Source organism: Homo sapiens, chromosome 16 (assembly GCF_000001405.40).
Source record: "Homo sapiens chromosome 16, GRCh38.p14 Primary Assembly".
In the NCBI taxonomy this organism is placed as follows: domain Eukaryota; kingdom Metazoa; phylum Chordata; class Mammalia; order Primates; family Hominidae; genus Homo; species Homo sapiens.
The window spans coordinates 56,911,187-56,930,511 of NC_000016.10; the positions used below are offsets into that span (position 1 = coordinate 56,911,187).

The 19,325-nt window shown below is 48.2% G+C and overlaps 1 protein-coding gene across 4 annotated transcripts in view, besides 4 other annotated features; it reads left to right on the forward strand.

The window, feature by feature from the left end:
- Positions 1-4,664, forward strand: part of SLC12A3 (solute carrier family 12 member 3) — a 50,644-nt gene extending 45,980 nt beyond the window's left edge. For all 4 annotated transcript variants that reach the window (NM_000339.3, NM_001126108.2, NM_001126107.2 and 1 more), the window contains exon 26: positions 2,078-4,664. In NM_000339.3, coding sequence (NP_000330.3) covers positions 2,078-2,219 — 142 coding nt within the window. In that variant the 3' untranslated portion in view covers positions 2,220-4,664. The remainder of the gene's footprint in view (positions 1-2,077) is intronic.
- Positions 410-1,328: an enhancer, noted in NCBI's record as "H3K4me1 hESC enhancer chr16:56945508-56946426 (GRCh37/hg19 assembly coordinates)". NCBI's record gives its function as "activates a minimal SCP1, AML or CMV promoter by ChIP-STARR-seq in naive H9 embryonic stem cells {active_cell/tissue: H9 hESC(naive)}" and the evidence as "EXISTENCE:reporter gene assay evidence [ECO:0000049][PMID:30033119]".
- Positions 410-2,433: a biological region, named in NCBI's record as "CDK7 strongly-dependent group 2 enhancer GRCh37_chr16:56946332-56947531".
- Positions 1,234-2,433: an enhancer, noted in NCBI's record as "CDK7 strongly-dependent group 2 enhancer chr16:56946332-56947531 (GRCh37/hg19 assembly coordinates)". NCBI's record gives its function as "activates an origin of replication core promoter dependent on BRD2, BRD4, P300/CBP, MED14 and CDK7 cofactors, with strong dependence on CDK7, by STARR-seq in HCT116 cells {active_cell/tissue: HCT116}" and the evidence as "EXISTENCE:reporter gene assay evidence [ECO:0000049][PMID:35650434]".
- Positions 1,687-1,736: an enhancer, noted in NCBI's record as "active region_10858". NCBI's record gives its function as "activates an Ori minimal core promoter by ATAC-STARR-seq in GM12878 lymphoblastoid cells {active_cell/tissue: GM12878}" and the evidence as "EXISTENCE:reporter gene assay evidence [ECO:0000049][PMID:35858748]".

Sequence of the window (19,325 nt, forward strand, 5' to 3'; positions counted from 1 at the left end):
GTTTGGGCTCAGTACTCCTATGTCCCTTTCTCCTGGAAAGTCACTAAATATTTGAACTCAGATGACTATAGCTTAATGAAATGGCCTTGGTCCAACCCACCTTCCCTAATTTTTGAGACCTTTTGTTTGTTTGTTTGTTTGTTTGTTTGTTTGTTTTGAGACAGAGTCTCACTCTGTTGCCCAGGCTGCAGTGCAGTGGCGCAATCATGCTCACTGCAGCCTCGACCTCCCAGGCTCAAACGATCCTCCCGCCTCAGCATCCTGAGGAGCTGGGACCACAGGCGTGTGCCATCATGCCCAGCTAATTTTTCTATTTTTTGTAAAGACAGGGTCTCACCATGTTGCCCAGGCTGGTCTCAAACTCCTGGGCTCAAGTGATCTGCCCACCTCGGCCTCCCAAAGTGCTGGGATTACAGGTGTGACCATGCCTGGCCCGGGACATTGCTTTTTAAAGGAGGGTAGGGCTTGTCCCAGGTGAAGCTTTGTGGATGGAACTTCCAAGTGTGACATAGCTGTTTAGTATCCCAGTTACCCTTCTCAGAGGAGGTTGGAGTTGCTGTGAGCAGAGGCTGCTGCGGAGGGAAGATGTCAAGACCTCGGTTCGAATTCCAGCTTTGCCGCCGCTGGCTTAGCTGTCGCGTGCTGGTCAGTACTAAGTGGTGATGACAGCTGCTGACCTTACAGAGCACTCACTGTGTGCCAGGCATTGTGCTGTGCCTGCGTGTGCTTTGCCTGTTTTAGCATCACAAACATCCTGCGAGGGAGGTTTTTGTGTTCTTGCTTTAGGGAAGAGAAACTCTGCAAAGGTCATCTGGCTGAGGAAGTGGCAAAGCCACGACTCGGACGCCAGAGACTGGCTCTGACCTCAGCGCTCCAGCATCCTCCTCCCGCCCCAGTTCTCCCACCTGTGAAGGAGCGCGGTGCTGCGGGCCCTGCCCATTCCCCAGGGGGATGTACTTGGGGAAAACAGACACTCAAGTGAGTCCCACGGAAGGTGCTGGTGCCCCCACTTCATGCGGCACCAGCTGGACCTGTGAGACACTGCTGGAGCCCACAGACCCTCCTGGAGCCCAGAGCTGGGCAGCTGTGGCCATCCCAATGCATTTTTGGAATTCTCCAGATAGTAGAAAAGTCACTTCCTGAAATAGTTGGAAGACATGGCTGGACAGCATTCCCAGGGCATCTTTTTATTCACGCAGCATTGCACAGTTAAGACAAGGGGCCTCCCCATAGGCAGCGGTGGAGTCTTGCTCCCAGGGCCTCCTGCACAGGGCAGGAGGCAGGACAAAGACGCTGAGCTGGACAATGAATGAACAGGAACATATCACATTGCTGTGGCCACAGGCTGGCACAGGGCTGGAGAGGCAAGCCTGGCATGAAGCGGGTGGCCTGATAGGGAAGGGTCGCCCACTTAACAAATATATACTGAGCCTGACTGTATCAGACTGTGTTCTAGGCACTGGGAAAAGGGGGGTGAATAAGGCAGATCTGGCCTCCTTGTGAGCGAACATTCTAATGTGGGGAGACAAGCACATAAATCAGAAGATGCTGTTGGGACTGTGGAGGGCTCTGAAGGCAGTAAAGTGGGGTGATGTGAGGAAGAGGCGTGGGCGGCCTGCCCTGGAGGAGTGATCAGGGAGGAGGTGGGTGCACTTGCCTGACTCAAAGGAAGTGACCAGGTGCAGAGCTGGGGCTGCTCCTTTCCTGGTGGGTGGGGAGAACGTCAAGTGCAAAGGTTGGAGGCAGGAGTGAGCTTGGCATTTTTTTAGGAATGGAAAGAAAGCCACAGGGCATCGGGGGTGAGCAAGGCGAGGGTGGGAGGAGGTGAGGTCGTGGGCTTGGCAAGGACTAGATCCCATAGGGCTTGTGGGCCATGGCTTTGTTTAGAAACGCTTCACGGCAGAAGGTCCATTCTGGGTCAGGTTTGTGCGGAAAGTGGGGAGGTCATTCTTAGGGTGGGTGGAAGGAGCTCTGAGGGACGGTAAACAGACTCGCTGTTCTGAAAACAAACTGGGAGCTGGGCGTGTGGAGCGGCCCCGTGGTAATCTCTCTTCTACCACTTTTTCATGCCTTGCAGCACTTTGCCCATAGGGAGGAAGGGGAAGTGCCCCAGCTCGCTGTACATGGCCTGGCTGGAGACCCTGTCCCAGGACCTCAGACCTCCAGTCATCCTGATCCGAGGAAACCAGGAAAACGTGCTCACCTTTTACTGCCAGTAACTCCAGGCTTTGACATCCCTGTCCACAGCTCTGAGTGTGTGGGATAAGTTGGAACTTGATTGCCTCTAGTCCACAGGGATGAGACTCATGTTCTGTTGCACTTTAAGTGGCAGCATCTGATGATCTCACCGAAAAAGATGGTAGATTTCCAAATCTGGCTGGACTCCACTTCCATGGGACACATTCCCTGGGTCTTGTGTTTATAGGCTAGAGAAATAGCAGATGGAGCTGCAAGGAAAACTCTCTAAAGCATCCTATTCCTTTTAAAGGATTTCTTTTGATTTTGATGACCATTAATTAAGAGTTCAGTCTTTGATTTGTATGCAAATTGGAGTCCCAATGCTGGGCGTGAATCTTGACAGTTTCTACAGACCTTCCTGGGTGAAAGTTCCTAAATCATGCCCTGCTTCCTCCAATAGGAGAATGGGAGCCTCACCTGTAGGACCTACAGGCTCTCTAAGGAATGCAGGTCTCTCTCTGAGCCTCCACAGCCAGGCAAATACATATATATATATTTTTTTTTTAGATGAAGTTTTTTCTCTTGTTGCCCAGGCTAGGGTGTAATGGCATGATCTCAGGTCACTGCAACCTCCTCCCGGGTTCAAGCATTTCTTCTGTCTCAGCCTCCCGAATAGCTGGGATTACAGGCACCTGCCATCACACGAGCTAATTTTTGTATTTTTAGTAGAGATGGGGTTTCACCATGTTGACCAGGCTGGTGTTGAGCTCCTGACCTCAGGTGATCCACCCACCTCGGTCTCCCAAAGTGCTGGGGTTACAGGCCTGAGCCACTGCGCCCGGCCCAGGCAAATTTCTTGAACCACTTCTCACTCCCGTCACTTTCAATAAGGGGTCTTTGATGTCTTCACTGGTTCTTTGGACGAGGGACTTTTCGAACTTTTTTGGTTGCAACACACAGTAAGAAATATACTTCACACTGAGACTTGCAGCGCACACACACGGAAACGACCAAAACAAAAATGTCACAAAACAATACTTACCCTTCCCTGGGGGACGTCCTCCAGTATGTTCTGTTCTGTTTATTTTTCACTGTTGGTTGCAATCCAATAAAATGACTTTGGGATCCACTCATGGGTGGGGACCCACACATTTGAAAGGCATGGCCACCTTTCTGTTGTGCCTTGCATTTGTCCACACACAGGGAGTCTGGCTGAGCTGGGGAAAGGCCACGGCTGGGTGTCATTGCCATTTTCCCAGCTCATCTCACCGGGAAGAAAAGCAGATTGACAGAACACGTGAGGAGGGGTATTGATGGCAGGAGAGTCAAAAAAGAGTTTTAAAGAAGGGGCAAGGTTGAAGGAGTCTAGTGGCAAGGGTAAGATTTCAGGCATGGTTAAGAACAGACGACAAGGATGTCAGGAATGAAGATGTGGAGAGGGGTGTAGAGATGGCAAGGTTGGCAAGGAACAGATAGGCAGGAGCAGGTCCAAGCCAAGCCTAGCCCAAGACCAGGTGAAAGGAGAGGGGAGGAGGAGCCACCTGCAAGAGATGGAAAGAGCAGGCGGCAGAGGGGGCTGGCAGGGAGGGGCTGTTAAGAGTGGGGTTGGAGGTGGGAGAGAAGCTAGGACAAGGGAGATGGAGAAAGGACCTATACCTGGCTCACGGAAGGCCTTCAGGTCACTACACGTTGAACATCCCCAGTGTTTGAGCCCCCAAAGCTAGGGTGCAAGAGCACTGCCATCGAATGCCAGTGGGTGAGGCCAAGTGAGGGTATTTGCAGCTCTAGACATAACCAAGAAGCGTAAAGGTGAGTTGTTTGGTGGTACGACTGCCTGTGCCTTCTTCCGATGGCACTGGGGTGGCTGAAGGAACAGACATCTTTGGGTTTCATCAGCCTCCTCCAAGACTGCTGCAGTGCCTACACTTTAGACTTCAGAAGGAGACTAAAGACTTCTAGAATTTAGAAGGAGATCTGAAGTCTCCTTTCTGGAGTTACAACCCAAAGGATGTTAGCATTTCTCAGGTCATCCCACTGCAAAGCCCAGAAGGCTTGGGGCTCCCAGGCTGCTCTGAAGCCCCACTGTCTGACCGCCTCAGGGCTTGCTACGAGGGACTGGGGCACGGCCAAGCTGACTAGGAACAGCTCTCGTGCTCCTGAGGGACCTGGAGGATGGGCCTGCCTCCCAGCCATTGAGCTGGATTCTGGGATAATTCTTAACTCGAAATAAGGGGAAGCATCCATCAGGGAATGCTGGCCTTTCTAGAGCCACGTAGAAAACAATTTTCTGGTTCTTCAAACCTCAAAGAGTCCTTGGTCCAAAAAACAGAATGTTTTGGCTTCGGGTGTCAAAAAAAAAATTTTCACGATGTCAGAAATAGTATGTTTTTAACAATAGTAATAGCTTTGTAAAAAAATAAAAAGCTTTAACAGCGAGGCCATAAACAATGAAATGAATAAAAACGGTGGTCATTCAGTCAACGGAACTTATTTGTTTTGGAACACACTGTTTTTCAACTCTGCTGAGTGTTTTGAAAAAATGAACTATTGTTTTTCCAACCCTGGATTGAACTCTTCTCGGAGCCCCTACTGGTTCTGCAGGTCATAGTGCCAGATTTCAACATAAATATTTATAGGAGCCATTTATTTTCCCTTTGATTCTCTTCCATGCATTTGCAGACTCACGGGGAACCATTTTTCTCAGCCTTTATCAAAGTCCCCCAGCATTTCCCATCTTGCCTGACACAGAGAGGTAACAGGTTGAGTGAAGGAGCCATGGCAAGGCCACCAGGTGACTGGGATTTGAGTTTCAATGTCTCCCCAAAACTGGCTGTGTGACCTCAGATATGCCCCTTCGTGTCTCTGGGAGGCCTCCAGTCTATGAAATGAAAGAATTGGACCAGAACAGGTGTCCCCAGCCAGCTGACCCAACAGTGACTGTGGTTTGGCCCAGGAGTGGTTGACAAAAATTGTGGCTGCATCAGGAGGTGGGGGTTAAGGGGAAGGGGTACACATCCCTTGGTCACCCCCAACCCACTGCCCTTCCCAGCCCACCACTTCCTACTCCCCTGTGGTGTGAGCCTTTGCATCCAAGGATTTCGAGTTTCTCTAGATCATTATTTGGCCTATTAGCATAAGAGATGTAGGGCCACACTGCCTCTCTGTCCCTGCCTTTGGATGACAAAATGCTTCCCATTTAGGAGTTTGTGCAGTGGGAAGTACTATCCATGAAGCCTTCCCTTCCTCTGTGCTGGCAGAGGAGGGAACCATCAGGGCCAGGGCCAGCCTCAGCCCCAGTGGCCACCCCAGCAGGGGCTCCTCCCTTCTCTCCCCTGGGATCCACTGCCCAGTCAGCTCCCAGTTTTGCCCTCAGCATTTCAGCCTCCAGATTTAGTATCCTCCCTCAGTGCCTGCCCAGACTTCCTATGGCTTTGAAGTAATTGCAGTACCACCTATTTTTCACCCAATGGGCTCTCTGGGCTCTGCTTACCCAGGCAGAAAGCTGTGGGCCTCCTTAGCACATGGAGAGTCCCCATGTGGACTGAATTCCCTTCTAGACCCCTGCCTGGACTGTCTAGAGTGGTGAGGGGGAGGAGGGGTTCACAGGGATGAGACCAGCTGGATTGTTCCAGAAGAACCACCTGGCTGGGAGGCCTTCAGGCACATGCAAAGCAGCCAGGTTTGGTTCATAGCTGTGTACAGCTCAGGATATCAGGGAAAAAATGCTGCCAACTCCAAGAATGTTCACAGAAATGGGGCGCAGGAAAGCCCAGCCACTGGCTTCATTGGTAATTTCCCACTTGAAGTGAGGTTTCATCCTGTGACCGAAAGCAAAAGTACAACATACGCACCCACTTCCTAAAAGTGGAGCCATCACAAATACAGTTTCTATAAATACTCTCAGAAGAACCACCTGGCTGGGAGGCCAGAGAGCAAAATGTCTGATAGATGAAAGACAGCGGCAAGAAAGGACAAGTGGTTTTATTTTAACTCATAAAAATTACAAATAAAACATTCTACGTTTGCAAAGGAGGGAGCAAACACATAAGGTCAAGGGGATTAGGAAAGTCTTTATAGGGAACATGGTGTACAAAAGGGGTACACATTCCTTGGTCACCCCCAACCCACTGCCCTTCCCAGCCCACCACTTCCTACTCCCCTGTAGTGTGAGCCTTTGGATCCAAGGATTTCGAGTTTGTCTAGATCATTATTTGGCCTAATAGGTTCCAGAGATTGGTGGGATTCAATAGAAAGAGAGAAATGAGATCTGGGGTGGGAAGAAGGATTTCTGGGCAGCAGCGGTAGCTTGAGCAAAAGACAGAGTGAGGATTGCCCCGGGCATGTCTGGAGAACAAGAAACAAGCCAGTTTTCCTGGAGTGTGAGGGAAGTGTGTATAGGAAAATAAGACTCGGCCGGGCGCGGTGGCTCACGCCTGTAATCCCAACACTTTGGGAGGCCAAGGCAGGGCGATCACCTGAGCCTACGAGTTTGAGACCAGCCTGGGCAACATGATGAAACCCTTTCTTTACAAAAAAAGAAAAAAAAAATTAGCTGGATGTGGTGGTGCGCACCTGTGGCTTCAGCTACCCCAGAGGCTGAGGTGGGAGGATCACTTGAGCCTGGGAGGTTGAGGCTGCAGTGCTGTGATTGTGTCACTGCTCTCCAACCTGGGTGACAGAGCAAGACTTTATCTCAAAAAAAAAAAAAAAAAAAAGGAGGAGGAGAAGTAGCAGTCCCGTCATATGAAGGGCAGAGTAACAGGCTTAATGCTGAAGGAAAGAGAAAGCAAATTGATTTGGGTTTGGTACTTTAAGTGTGAGAATGCCCAGGTGGTCAGAACTGTGGTCCTGGAACCTGGGAAGAGCTCAAGGTGCTCCCCTGTTAGCCTGCAGCTCTTTGAGAGCAGTGACCGTAAATAGATTTGGCAGTCATGCTCATGGTCAGGGACATGGAAGTCATAGCTTGGGTGAGATCAAGAGAGAAAGTACAAAGAAAGAACAGGGCTAGACCTTGGGAAGGGCTATATTTAGGAGGCAGAATGAAAAAGGGTCAGTGGTGAGGCAGACTTGAAAAGAGCATTGGAGGGACAGGAGGAAAACTCAGATCACCGAGGAGGCACCCGAGAAGGGGATCAAAGAAGCTCAGAGTCGACCATGTAGTAGCTGTCTGCGAAGGGGCTGGAGCCACTGAAGGTGCTGTTGAATTTGGGGTTGAGGCATCATTGGGAGCCTTGCAGTGAATAATTCGGTAAAGCGGCAGGTCAGGGGCCAGGGACTGAGGAATGAATTTGTGGGCAGGAAAAGAAAACAGTAGCCCTGCTTAGAGACTTCATACTTGAGTAAGCCAGCAATGGAGAGATTGAGGGAGACACAGTGGAAACCTGAGGGAATAACAGACTCAAGGAAAGTGCTTTGCCTGTTGTTATCGTAGGGCGTGTATTAGGGTAATGCTAGGCTATGCTGCAGTAACAAATTGCCCTCTCGATGTTAGAGGCTTACAAGACAAAGTTCTGTTTCTGTTACAAATATTCCTAACACAGTCAGGCAGCTCTTCGGGGTTCCTCTTCTCCACATCGGGACTCAACGATCAAAATTACTCCTGTCTTGGGAAGCCACCACTTTGACCAGTAGTTTCCAGCTCACTGAAGAAGGGAAAAGAGAGCTGGAGGGTCACACACTGGCTTTTAAGTGTTTCCACCCAGAAGGGACGTTATTTATTTCCACTCAAAGCCCATTAGCCAAAGCCAAATAGTCACATGGCTCCACCTAACTGCAAGGGTGCTGGGAAATTTGGGGGAAGATATGAATATTCATTGAACAATAAATGTCTCTGTTACAGAGTGAGGGTGAGTAATAGAGACCTGAGTGTATCGATAGGTCAGAGGGGAGAGATTGATGATGCAAGCAAAAGAATAACTGCAGAAAAGGTAGCAATGATGAATCAACAAAACGTGGGGACATTTTTGCCACACAGCAGGAAAGGCATAGCTGAAGTCTGGTAGCCCTGGGGTGCAAAACTCTCAGGACCCTTGCCCTTGTGATCTGCCCCGGCAGGGCCCCTGAGCACCAGGTCAGAAAGCAAACATAGAAATTGCAGGTGACATGTTTCCCAACAATGGGGCTGGCCAAGCAAACAGGGAAGGAGAAGGCACGAGGGAGGGATTCAAGAATGATGACCGTGAGCTCCCAGTTGGATGGGGAGACCAGAAGTGAGCTGCAAGACTTGACAAGACTTGAAATGCTAGTAGCATGAAGACAAAAAGAACACGCAGGCTGGGCGCGGTGCCTCATGCTTGTAATCCCAGCACTTCGCGAGGCCAAGGCAGGCGGATCACTTAAGGCCAGGAGTTTGAGACCAACCTGACCAACAGGTTTTTTTTCCCTAAGGGAAAAAAAAAAAAAATTAGCCAGGCATGATGGTGGCCACCTGTAGTCCCAGCTATTCAGGAGGTTGAGGCAGGAGAATCGCTTGAATCTGGGAGGCAGAGGTTGCAGTGAGCCGAGATCGTGCCACTGCACTCTAGCCTGGGCAATAGAGTGAGACTCTGTCTCAAGAAAACCCAAAACAACAACAAAAACATGCAGTGGGCCGGGCACGGTAGCTCACACCTATAATCTCTGCCCTTTGGGAGGCGAAGGCAGGTGGATCACTTGAAGTCAGGAGTTCTAGACCAGCCTAGGCAACATGGTAAAACCCCATCTCTACTAAAAATGCAAAAATTAGCCAGGCATGATGGCATGCACCTGTAGTCCCAGCTATTTGGGGGCTGAGGTAGGAAGATGGCTTGAACCCAGGAGGTTGAGGCTACAGTGAGCTGAGATGGTGCCACTGAACTCCAGCCTGGGCAACAGAGTGAGACCCTGTCTCTAAAACAAACAAACAACAACAACAACAAAGAAGAATATGCAGTTGATGTGGGAGATGGGGAGAAGGAGAAGAACAAAGTTTGTGGTCAGTACGTGTGCACTTCACAGCTTGACATTCTGGAGGAACTAAACATCTTAAGCACACCAAACTCTAAGGTGTCCACCATTTGCCTATGAGGTCTACAAAGGCGGGATTTGAGATGTACCTTTTAGTTGCTGGATGGCAGGGAGACCAGAGGAGGGCCCAGGGCAGCCGAAGGGCACTCGGGGCAGGGGCTATGGACCCAACAGGCACAGGAGTATTTCAGTATCTTAACTGCTGAAACAGCTGAATGACTGCATGTCAGCTTTGAGGGTGAACATATCTGATTCATCTCTTACCCTAGGGTGCAGCACAGGGCTTAGCAGAGTGGACACTCAATAGATGTTTGCAGAATGAATGAATGAACGACGAATGAATGGATCATACCAATGAGTGGTAGAGGAAAGTGGAGACAAGACAAAGGGAAGTGAGCTAAACATCCTGAGAGTGTGAGCCGGACGCTGGAGTTGTTAAAATGGGCAAAGGGTGGGGGGGAAGCTTGTGAGCCAGCTGTCAAAGGTGCTGAGTGAGATCTTGAGAGAGATCCCTGGAGGTCACTACCTGTATCTGCAGACAGGTAAACCTTCAGATCAGAAAAGGGAGCTGAATGATGAGAGCACATGGACACGTGGGAGGGAACAACACACACTGGGGCCTGTCAGTGTGGGAGGGGCCTGAGGGGAGGGAGAGCATGGGGAAGAATAGCTAATGGATGCTGGACTTAATACCCAGGTGGCCGGGTGCGGTGGCTCATGCCTGTAATCCCAGTACTTTGGGAGGCTGAGGCAGGCAGATTGCTTGAGGTCAGGAGTTTGAGACCAGCCTGGCCAACATGGTGAAACCCCATCTCTACTAAAAATACAAAAATTAGCCAGGCGTGGTGGCGGGCGCCTGTAGTCCCAGCTACTCGGGAGGCTGAGGGAGGTGAATCTTTTGAATCCAGAAGGCAGAGGCTGCAGTGAACCAAGATTGCACAACCGCAGTCCAGCCTGGGTGACAGAGTGAGACCCCATCTCAAACAAACAAACGAACAAAACAAGATAAAAAGAAAAAGAAATACCCAGGTGATGGGATGATCTCTGCAGCAAATGACCATGGCACACATTTACCTACGTAACAAACCTGCATAACCTGTTCGTGTACCCCAGAACTTAAAATAAAAGTTGAAATTAAAAAAAAAGAAAAGGCTGCTAAGATATGCACCAAATTAGATGCAGGTATGCTCTTATAAGCACACCGAGGAGGTGGGCTGGGAGGGAAGAACCTCCTTCAGTGGTGTGATATTCAGGGTCCTTTCCTGGAAAAAGACAGGGTTGGTTAATGTCAGGGGTACTGGGGCAAGGCACGTATCGGGGAGGAGACTGGAGCCTGTACACAAAGAACTACACCCAGGGGTTAATTCCTGAGATCTCAGTGATGGATATGGGCCTAGGGCAGGAAAGGCCAACTGGGCCACGTCAGAGATAAGAGTTGGAGGAATAAGTGCAGGTGTTTGCAATGGGCTAATAAAGACAGGAGGATAAGTCCAGGACTTAATGTGAGGGCTGAGCAAGCAGAAATAAATTCATGGAGGAGATCAAAAGTCCCACCATTTGAACAAAAATGTTGCCTAAGCTACTTCTGGTGTCTTACGCATCTTTGCTGAAGTGCTGGGTCTAGTCTGAAGTCAGCTTGGGGAAGGTGGGAGTTTTGCTGGGTGAAGAAAGAAAGAAACTAATACAAGATCAAAATCCTACTTAGGGTACAGAATATTCTGTGTACAAGAAAAGATACACGAGGCCGGGCACAGTGGCTCATGCCTGTAATCCCAGCACTTTGGGAGGCTGAGGCCGGTGGATAACCCAAGGTCAGGAGTTCAAGACCAGCCTGGCCAACATGGTGAAACCCTGTCTCTACTAAAAATACAAAAATTAGCCGGACGTGATGGCAGGCGCCTGTAATCCCATCTACTCGGGAGGCTGAGGCAGGAGAATTGCTTGAACCCGGGAGGCGGAGGTTGCAGTGAGCCAAGATTGTGCCATTGCACTCCAGCCTGGGCAGTAAGAGTGAAGCTCCATCTCAAAAAAAGAAAAAAAAAAAAAAAAAAGAAAAGGTACATGACATTTAAGATACATGTTTTTTTCTTTTCTGTTTAAAGTAAAACGCTGGACAGCAATCAGAATATTTAGAAGGAAGCTGTGATGGGAGAAAAAGAATGTGGGCTTCAGAGGTTACCTGGGGCCTCCGAATTCAACCATGACCCTTGCCCTAGATGCTGGCCTGGAGGGCGGGCTCCACCTGACTCTTGTTTGTCCTGGGTCCAAACCTGGTCAGCCAGGGAGAGCCATAAACCTGGCATGCTCTAGGGCAAAAGCAAGTATTTACTGTTGGAGAGACAACCAAATCAGGTAGATGCCTCCCATCTACCCGTCCTCTCCAGGATCTAAGTCCTTTGTTGGAGTAATCAGTGAAAGTTTCCTATGTGTGGTGGAGGTGATTTTATTTGCCTTCCTCCCACTCTTGGAAGAAAGGCTGGGGAGTAGCACTCAGAACAGGGAAGCCCAAGCAGGGTCTTTTTTTTTTTTTCTTTTTTCTTTTCTTTCTTTCTTTCTTTCTTTCTTTCTTTCTTTCTTTCTTTCTTTCTTTCTTTCTTCTTTCTTTCTTTCTTTCTTTCTTTCTTTCTTTCTTTCTTTCTTTCTTTTCTTTCTTTCTGTCTCTTTCTTTCCTTTTCTTTCTTTCTCTTTCTTTCTTTCTCTTTTCTTATTTTATTAAAAAAGAGAGAGAGATGGGGTCTCACGCCCAGGCTGGTCTTGGACTCCTGGCCTTGAGCGATCCTCCAGCTTCAGCCTCCCAAAGTGCTGGGATTATAGGCATGAGCCACTGTGCCAGGCCAAGGTCTTTAAAAAATTGTGGTAAAAGACATAACACAAAATTCACCATTTTAACTATTTTATTTTTTTGAGACAAAGTCTCACTCTGTCACCCAGGCTGGAGTGCAGTGGTGAGATCTCGGCTCACTGCAACTTCCACTTCCCAGGTTCAAGCGATTCTTGTGCCTCAGCCTCCCAAGTAGATGGGATTACAGGCACACGCCACCAGGCCCAGCTAATTTTTGTATTTGTTTTTTTTTTTTTCTGTAGAGACGGGGTTTCGCCATGTTGGCCAGGCTGGTCTCCAACTCCTGACCTCAGGTGATCTGCCCACCTCGGCCTACCAAAGTGCCGGGATTACAGGTGTCAGCCACTGTGCCCGGCCTGAACTATTTTAAAGTGTAATTCAGTGGTATTTAGTACATTCACGGTGTTGTGCAACCATCACCACTATCTCATTCCAAAACATTCTCATCGCCCCGAAAGGAAATTCTGGACCCATTAAGCAGTAAATCCCCACTAACCCCTGGCAAGCATTCATCTGCTTTCTGTCTCTATGGATTTGCCTGCTCTAGATATTTCATATAAGTAGATACAATATGTGGCCTTATGTGGCCTTTCTTGTCTGGCTTTTTCACTTAGCATCGTGTTTTCAAGGCTCATCCATCTTGTAGCATGCATCAGCACTTCATTCCTGTTTAAGGCTGAATAATAGCGCATTGCATGGATATGCCGTATTTTGCTTATTCATTCAGCTGGTGGACCTTCAGGTGGTTTCCACATTTTGTGTTATTATAAATAATGCTGCTATGAATATTCATGGACAAATTTTTGTGAAAAGTGCTTTCAGTTCTTTTGGGTAGATAGATATCTAGGAGAGGAATTGTTGGGTCATCTGGTAATTCTATATTGACTTATCCAGCAACTCTGGGTACACTGTAAAACTTTCTAAGGGCTGAGTTTTACTATCAGACCTATTGTTCTGCTGCCACAGCTTGGCCCCCGTTGTCAGTCTTGACTGGTCTTACCCTCTGGTGTCTCCTATTCAAGAGACACTTTGAGGTTCTCAAAAACTAGCTCTGTTTTCATTTTCTTCCATTTAAAAACTGTGTATAACAAACACCTTTAAGAATCAGGTAGCGGCCAGGCGCAGTGGCTCACACCTGTAATCCCAGCACTTTGGGAGGCTGAGGTGGGTGGATCACGAGGTCAAGAGGTCGAGACCATCCTGGCCAACGTGGTGAAACCCTGTCTCTACTAAAAGTACAAAAATTAGCTGGGTGTGGTGGTGCGCACCTGTAGTCCCAGCTACTCAGGAGGTTGAGGCAGGAGAATTGCTTGAACCCAGGTGGCAGAGGTTGCAGTGAGCCGAGATCATGCCATTGCACTCCAGCCTGGTGACAGAGCGAGACTCCATCTCAAAAAAAAAAAAAAAAAAAAAAAAAAGAATCAGGTCGCACAGGGGAATAACAGGGAAGTGGTTGCCCCAAGTCCTCAAAAGTTGATAACCACAGTCTGAGATTCCTCCTTCCTTCAAATAAAAACACTTCCCCGTCATGGGCCACAATGTTAAGGGAGGGTTTGCCTTGGGGGACTACTTCTTGTACAGAAGGAAAGCTGCTTCTGGCTTAGCAAGGGCAGGAGAGTTGCTGTGGGAAGGGTTTCATGAGTATGGAACAGGACGTCCATTTCCTGGGCTAAAGAAGGTGGCTTATGTGGGTGGTCAAATTAGGACTTCAGAATGACCATAAAAAGCACAGATTCTGGTTGGAGTTTAAATTACTCCAAAAAAAAAACCAAAAAAACAAAAAAACCCCCAAGAGTTCAAAAAACAAAGTATAGAAGTTCAGCAGGGCCTAAGACACCAGACTACTTCAAATAAAACATGATTACTGGCAATGATCTCTTGCTGACTTGGGTTTTGCAAAGGCTCTACCTTCACAGCCTGATTGTAAAATAAGATAGCGCTTGATTCTTCCATTCCTGTCCCCATCTCAGAATGCAAACATGAATTAGATCATGGCAGAGAGACAGCAACACTGCAGCACTACCACAGTCAACTTAAAGAGTTTCCATGTTCCTTTCATTTCCACATTTCCAGAAATCCCATTGAACACTGTGGATTTCCCTTCAGCTTGCTAACTTGCATTCCCTCACATGCTTTCTCTCCTACTTTATTTCTTTTTCCTTTTTTTTTTTTTTTTTGAGACGGAGTCTTGCTCCATCACCAGGCTGGAGTTCAGTGGCACGATCTTGGCTCACTGCAACCTCCGCTTCCGGGGTTCAAGCAAATCTCCTGCCTCAGCCTCCCGAGTAGCTAGGATTACAGGCACGTGCCACCATGCCCAGCTAATTTTTGTATTTTTAGTAGAGATGGGGTTTCACCATGTTGGTCAGGCTGGTCTCGATCTCATGACCTCGTGATCCACCCGTGTCGGCCTCCCAAAGTGCTGGGATTACAGGCATGAGTCACCGCGCCCGGCCTATATATATATATATCTTTTGAGATGGAGTCTTGCTCTGTTGCCCAGTCTGGAGTGCAGTGGTGTGATCTTGGCTCACTGCAACCTCCGCCTCCTGGGGTTCAAGCAATTCTCCTGTCTCAGCCTCCCAAGTAGCTGGGATTAGAGGCGCCCACCACCATGCCCGGCTAATTTTTATATCTTTAGTAGAGACAGAGTTTCGACATGTTGGCCAGGCTGGTCTCAAACTCCTGACCTCAGGTGATCTGCCTGCCTTGGCTTCCCAAAGTGCTGGGATTACAGGCATGAGCCACTAATCCTGGCCCTCATCTCCTCTTGAATGAACTGATCAGTCTCCTGGCCTGGAGTCTGTCCCCCTCCATAATGACGTGGATCCATACTGATTCTGATCTGTCCCTTCTACTGCTCAAAAACCTCCCATTGTCCACAAAATAAGGCCCAAACTCCGAAGGGTGACCATTCAAAGTCTTTTCTAAGCTTGTCCCAAGACTTTTTTCCATTCTTACCAATGACTGTTATCTGATATTATCATTATCTTAATATAATGATGTGGTCATTATTCTTATTTAAAAATATATCCTGGCCAGGCGCGGTGGCTCACGCCTACAATCCCAGCACTTTGGGAGGCCAAGGCAGGCAGATCACCTGATGTCAGGAGTTCAAGACCAGCCTGACCAACATGGAGAAACGCTGTCTCTGTTAAAAATACAAAAAAAATTAGCTGGGCATGGTGGCAGGCGTAATCCCAGCTACTTGGGAGGCAGAGGCAGGAGAATCGCTGGAACCCAGGAGGCGGAGGTTGCAGTGAGCCAAGATCACGCCACTGCACTCCAGCCTGGGTGACAAGAGCAAGACTCCATCTCAAAAAAAAAAAAAAAATGTTCCTGGAGTGATTTTGTTGCAGTCAGATTTGGGAACCACTGTACTGGACTCAGTCCAGTCCTCTAAATATTAATGGCTAACATTGATTGAGCACGTAGTAAATGTCTGGGTTTGTCCCAAGAACTTTGACAACTTGTGCTATTTAAGCCTCACAAAAACCCTATGAAACAGAAGATACTGTTATTATTCCTAATTTTCCTAATTTGGGCCGTGGCCCCATGAGTTTAACCACTGAGCTCTACCTGCCCATACAAATTCTGCGTATAAAGTCACTGGCACTCCATGGTGTTTAGTCAGTAATTGCTGCCATTATTACTTTCATTCAAATCTCACCCATCCTTCGGAATTCAGCTCAAATTCTACCTCTTCCATCAAGTTTTCTCTGACTCCCTCTCTTCTTTTCTCAATGTAATCATAAGTCCTTCAGAAATGTATTCGACTTTGGGATAGTCTTTTATTTCTGTGTTTTTTGTTAGCATCCTCATTATATTTGTAAAGTCATTGAGAATAGGGTCATGCTGTGTTTATCTTTCTATTCCTGGCACATTCGTTGACCTGTATTTAACATTTTCCTAAATGTGCTATAAGCAGAATCACCGAATTTCTCTCTTCTTTTTTTTTTTTTTTTAATTTGAGACTGAGTCTCGCGCTGTCTCCCAGACTGGAGTGCAGTGGCGCGATCTCAGCTCACTGCAGCCACCGCCTCCCAGGTTCAAGCGATTCTCCTGCCTCAACCACCCCAGTAGCTGGGATTACAGGTGCCCGCCACCACGCCTGACTATTTTTTTTCTATTTTTAGTAGAGATGATGATTTTTCACTATGTTGGCCAGGCTGGTCTCGAACTCCTGGCCTGAGGTTATCTGCTTGCCTTGGTCTCCCAAAGTGCTGGGATTATAGGCATGAACCACCACTCCTGTCCCCAAATTTCTTTAAAAGGAGCTATCTCACCAGGCGATAACTCAAGAGAGAATCACAGAAATTAGATTGCCTTTTCCCTAGGGGAAGAAAATGCAAAATCACACTCCTAAACTTTCTTTCTTCTGAGTGGAAAGGGATAAGATATCTTAACGTCTTAAGGGGCCCTGAGGCTTGTCACTGCAGGTGAGGGGAAACCACACTACTGGCATATTTGATTTCTCAATGCAGCTGTCACCTCCTGCCTTGCTGCCTCCTTTAATGCCTATGTTGGTTTTACCTGGGCTTGCTCCACTGGTTAGCTTCTCCCTAGTTGCAAGACTACCAGATCATAATCAGTTATTATCTCCCATCCTGATGTGTGAAAAGCTACAGAATTTGTGGGACCCAGTGCAAAATGAAAATGCAAGGCTTCTGTTTAAAATTTATTAAGAATTTAAAGATAATAGCAGAGCATTAAACCAAGCATGGGGCCCCATCCACTACATGGGTCCCACACCCATGAAGCCAGCTTTGATGAAAAAAGGGTTAGGCCAGGTGGTGGCTCGCACCTGTAATCCCAGCACTTTGGGAGGCCGAGGCAGGTGGATCATTTGAAGCCAGGAGTTCGAGACCAGGCTGGCCAACATGGTGAAACCCTGTCTCTACTAAAAATACAAAAACTAGCTTGGCTTGGTGGTGGGCACCTGTAATCCCAGCTACTTGGGAGGCTGAGGCAGGATAATTGCTTGAACCTGGGAGGTGGAGTTGCAGTGAGCGGAGATCATGCCACTGCACTCCAGCCTGGGCAACAGAGCACGACTCCGTCTCAAAAAAGAAAAAAAGGTCAGAGCCTTCTCAGCCGACCAAAACCACTTGCAGAAAGCTGAGTGTGGGGACAATTTATTTCCAAAGCCCTCAACCTCTCATCTTAATATAAAGACAGCTGAGAAAGAAATCACCCTGTATTGTGTGTTATATTAAGATTGACTATTGTGGACTGAATTGAGTCCTCCAAAGAGATGCTGAAGCCCTAACCACCAGTACCTGTGAATGTGGCAGCATTGGGAAATAGGGCCTTTGCAGATGATGGAGTTAAGATGAGGTTATTAGTGTGGGTCCCAATCCATGATGACTGGTACTCTTATGGAAAAAAGAAATGTGGACACAGAGCCAGACATGCACACAGGGAAGATGATGTGAAGAGACCTACAAAAGGAGAACCCATGAGAAGATGAAGACAGGTTGGGGTGATGCTTCTATATGCCAAGGAACGTCAAAGAGTGCCAGCAGGCCGGGGGCGGTGGCTCACGCCTGTAATCCCAGCACTTTGGGAGGCCGAGGTGGACGGATCATGAAGTCAGGAGTTTGAGACCAGCCTGGTCAACATGGTGAAACCCCATCTCTACTAAAAATACAAAAATTAGCCAAGTGTGGTGGTGGGCGCCAGTAGTTCCAGCTACTCAGGAGGCTGAGGCAGGAGAATTGCTTGAACCTGGGAGGTAGAGGTTGCAGTGAGCCAAGATTGTGCCACTGCACTCTGGCCTGTGCATCAGAGCGAGACTCTGTCTCAAAAAAAAAAAAAAAAAAAAATCGGCCAGGCGCCGTGGCTCACGCCTGTAATCCCAGTATGTTGGGAGGCCGAGGCGGGTGGATCACAAAGTCAGGAGATCGAGACCATTCTGGCAAACGGTGAAACCCTGTCCTTACTTAAAAATACAAAAAATTAGCCAGGCGTGGTGGCGGGCACCTGTAGTCCCAGCTACTTGGGAGGCTGAGGCAGGAGAATGGTGTGAACCCGGGAGGCAGAGCTTGCAATGAGCCGAGATCATGCCACTGCACTCCAGCCCAGGCGACAGAGCGAGACTCCGTCTCAAAAAAAAAAAAAGTGCCAGCAAACCACCAGGATAGGAGAGGGGCCTGGAAGATTCTCCCCCGAGGCCTCAGAAGGAACCAACCCTGCCGACACCTTGATCTCAGACTTCCAGTTTCCAGAACCAAGACAATAAATTTCTGTTTCTTAAGCCAGGAGTTCCCAACCTTTTTGACACTAGGGACCAGTTTTGTGGAAGACAGTTTTTCCACAGGCCAGAGGTGGGGTGGGGGGGGCATTGTTTCAGGATGATTCGAGCACATTACATTTATTGTGCACTTTATTTCTATTATTATTACATTGTAATATATAATGAAATAATTATACTACTCACCATGGTGTAGAATCAGTGGGAGCCCTGAGCTTGTTTTCCTACAACTAGATGGTCTCATCTGTGGGTGATAGGAGACAGTGACACCCGAAGTATGGTGCTTATGTCAAGTCTACCCATTTTGGCTGCTGTCACTGCAGAAAACCCTGCTTCACAGAGATGGGATGTTGCAATAGGCCAGGCATGGAGGCTCACATCTGTACTGCTAGCACTTTTGGAGGCCAAGGCAGCTGGATCACTTGAGGCGAGGAGTTCAAGACCAGCCTGGCCAATATAGCACAACCCCATCTGTCTCTACTAAAAATAATAAAAATTATATATATAGCCAAGTGTGGTGGTGCACTCTTGTAATCCTAGCTACTTGGTAGGCGGAGGCATGAGGCACAAGAATGGCTTAAACCAGAGAGGCGGAGGTTGCAGTGAGCCGAGAACGTGCCATTGCACTTCAGCCTGGGCGACAGAGTGAGACCCTGTCTCAAAAAAAAAAAGGATGTTGGAAATGAAAGCAGGCTTTTCAGTGTTTTTGTGGCCATCTCAGGATTAAAGCCTAGACTTTAACCCAGAACGTGGAGATTTGAAGTTGTCTCAAACATACTGTTTTTTTGTTGTTGTTGTTGTTGTGTTTTTGTTTTTTTTTTTTTGAGACGGAGTCTCGCTCTGTTGCCCAGGCTGGAGTGCGATGGCACAATCTCGGCTCACTGCAACCTCCACCTCCCGGGTTCAAGCAACTTTCCTGCCTCAGCCTCCTGAGTAGCTGGGATTACAGGCACGTGCCACCATGCCCGGCTAATTTTTGTATTTTTTAGGAGAGACGGGGTTTCACCATGTTGGTCATGCTGGTCTGGAACTCCTGACCTTGTGATCCACCTGCCTCGGCCTCCCAGA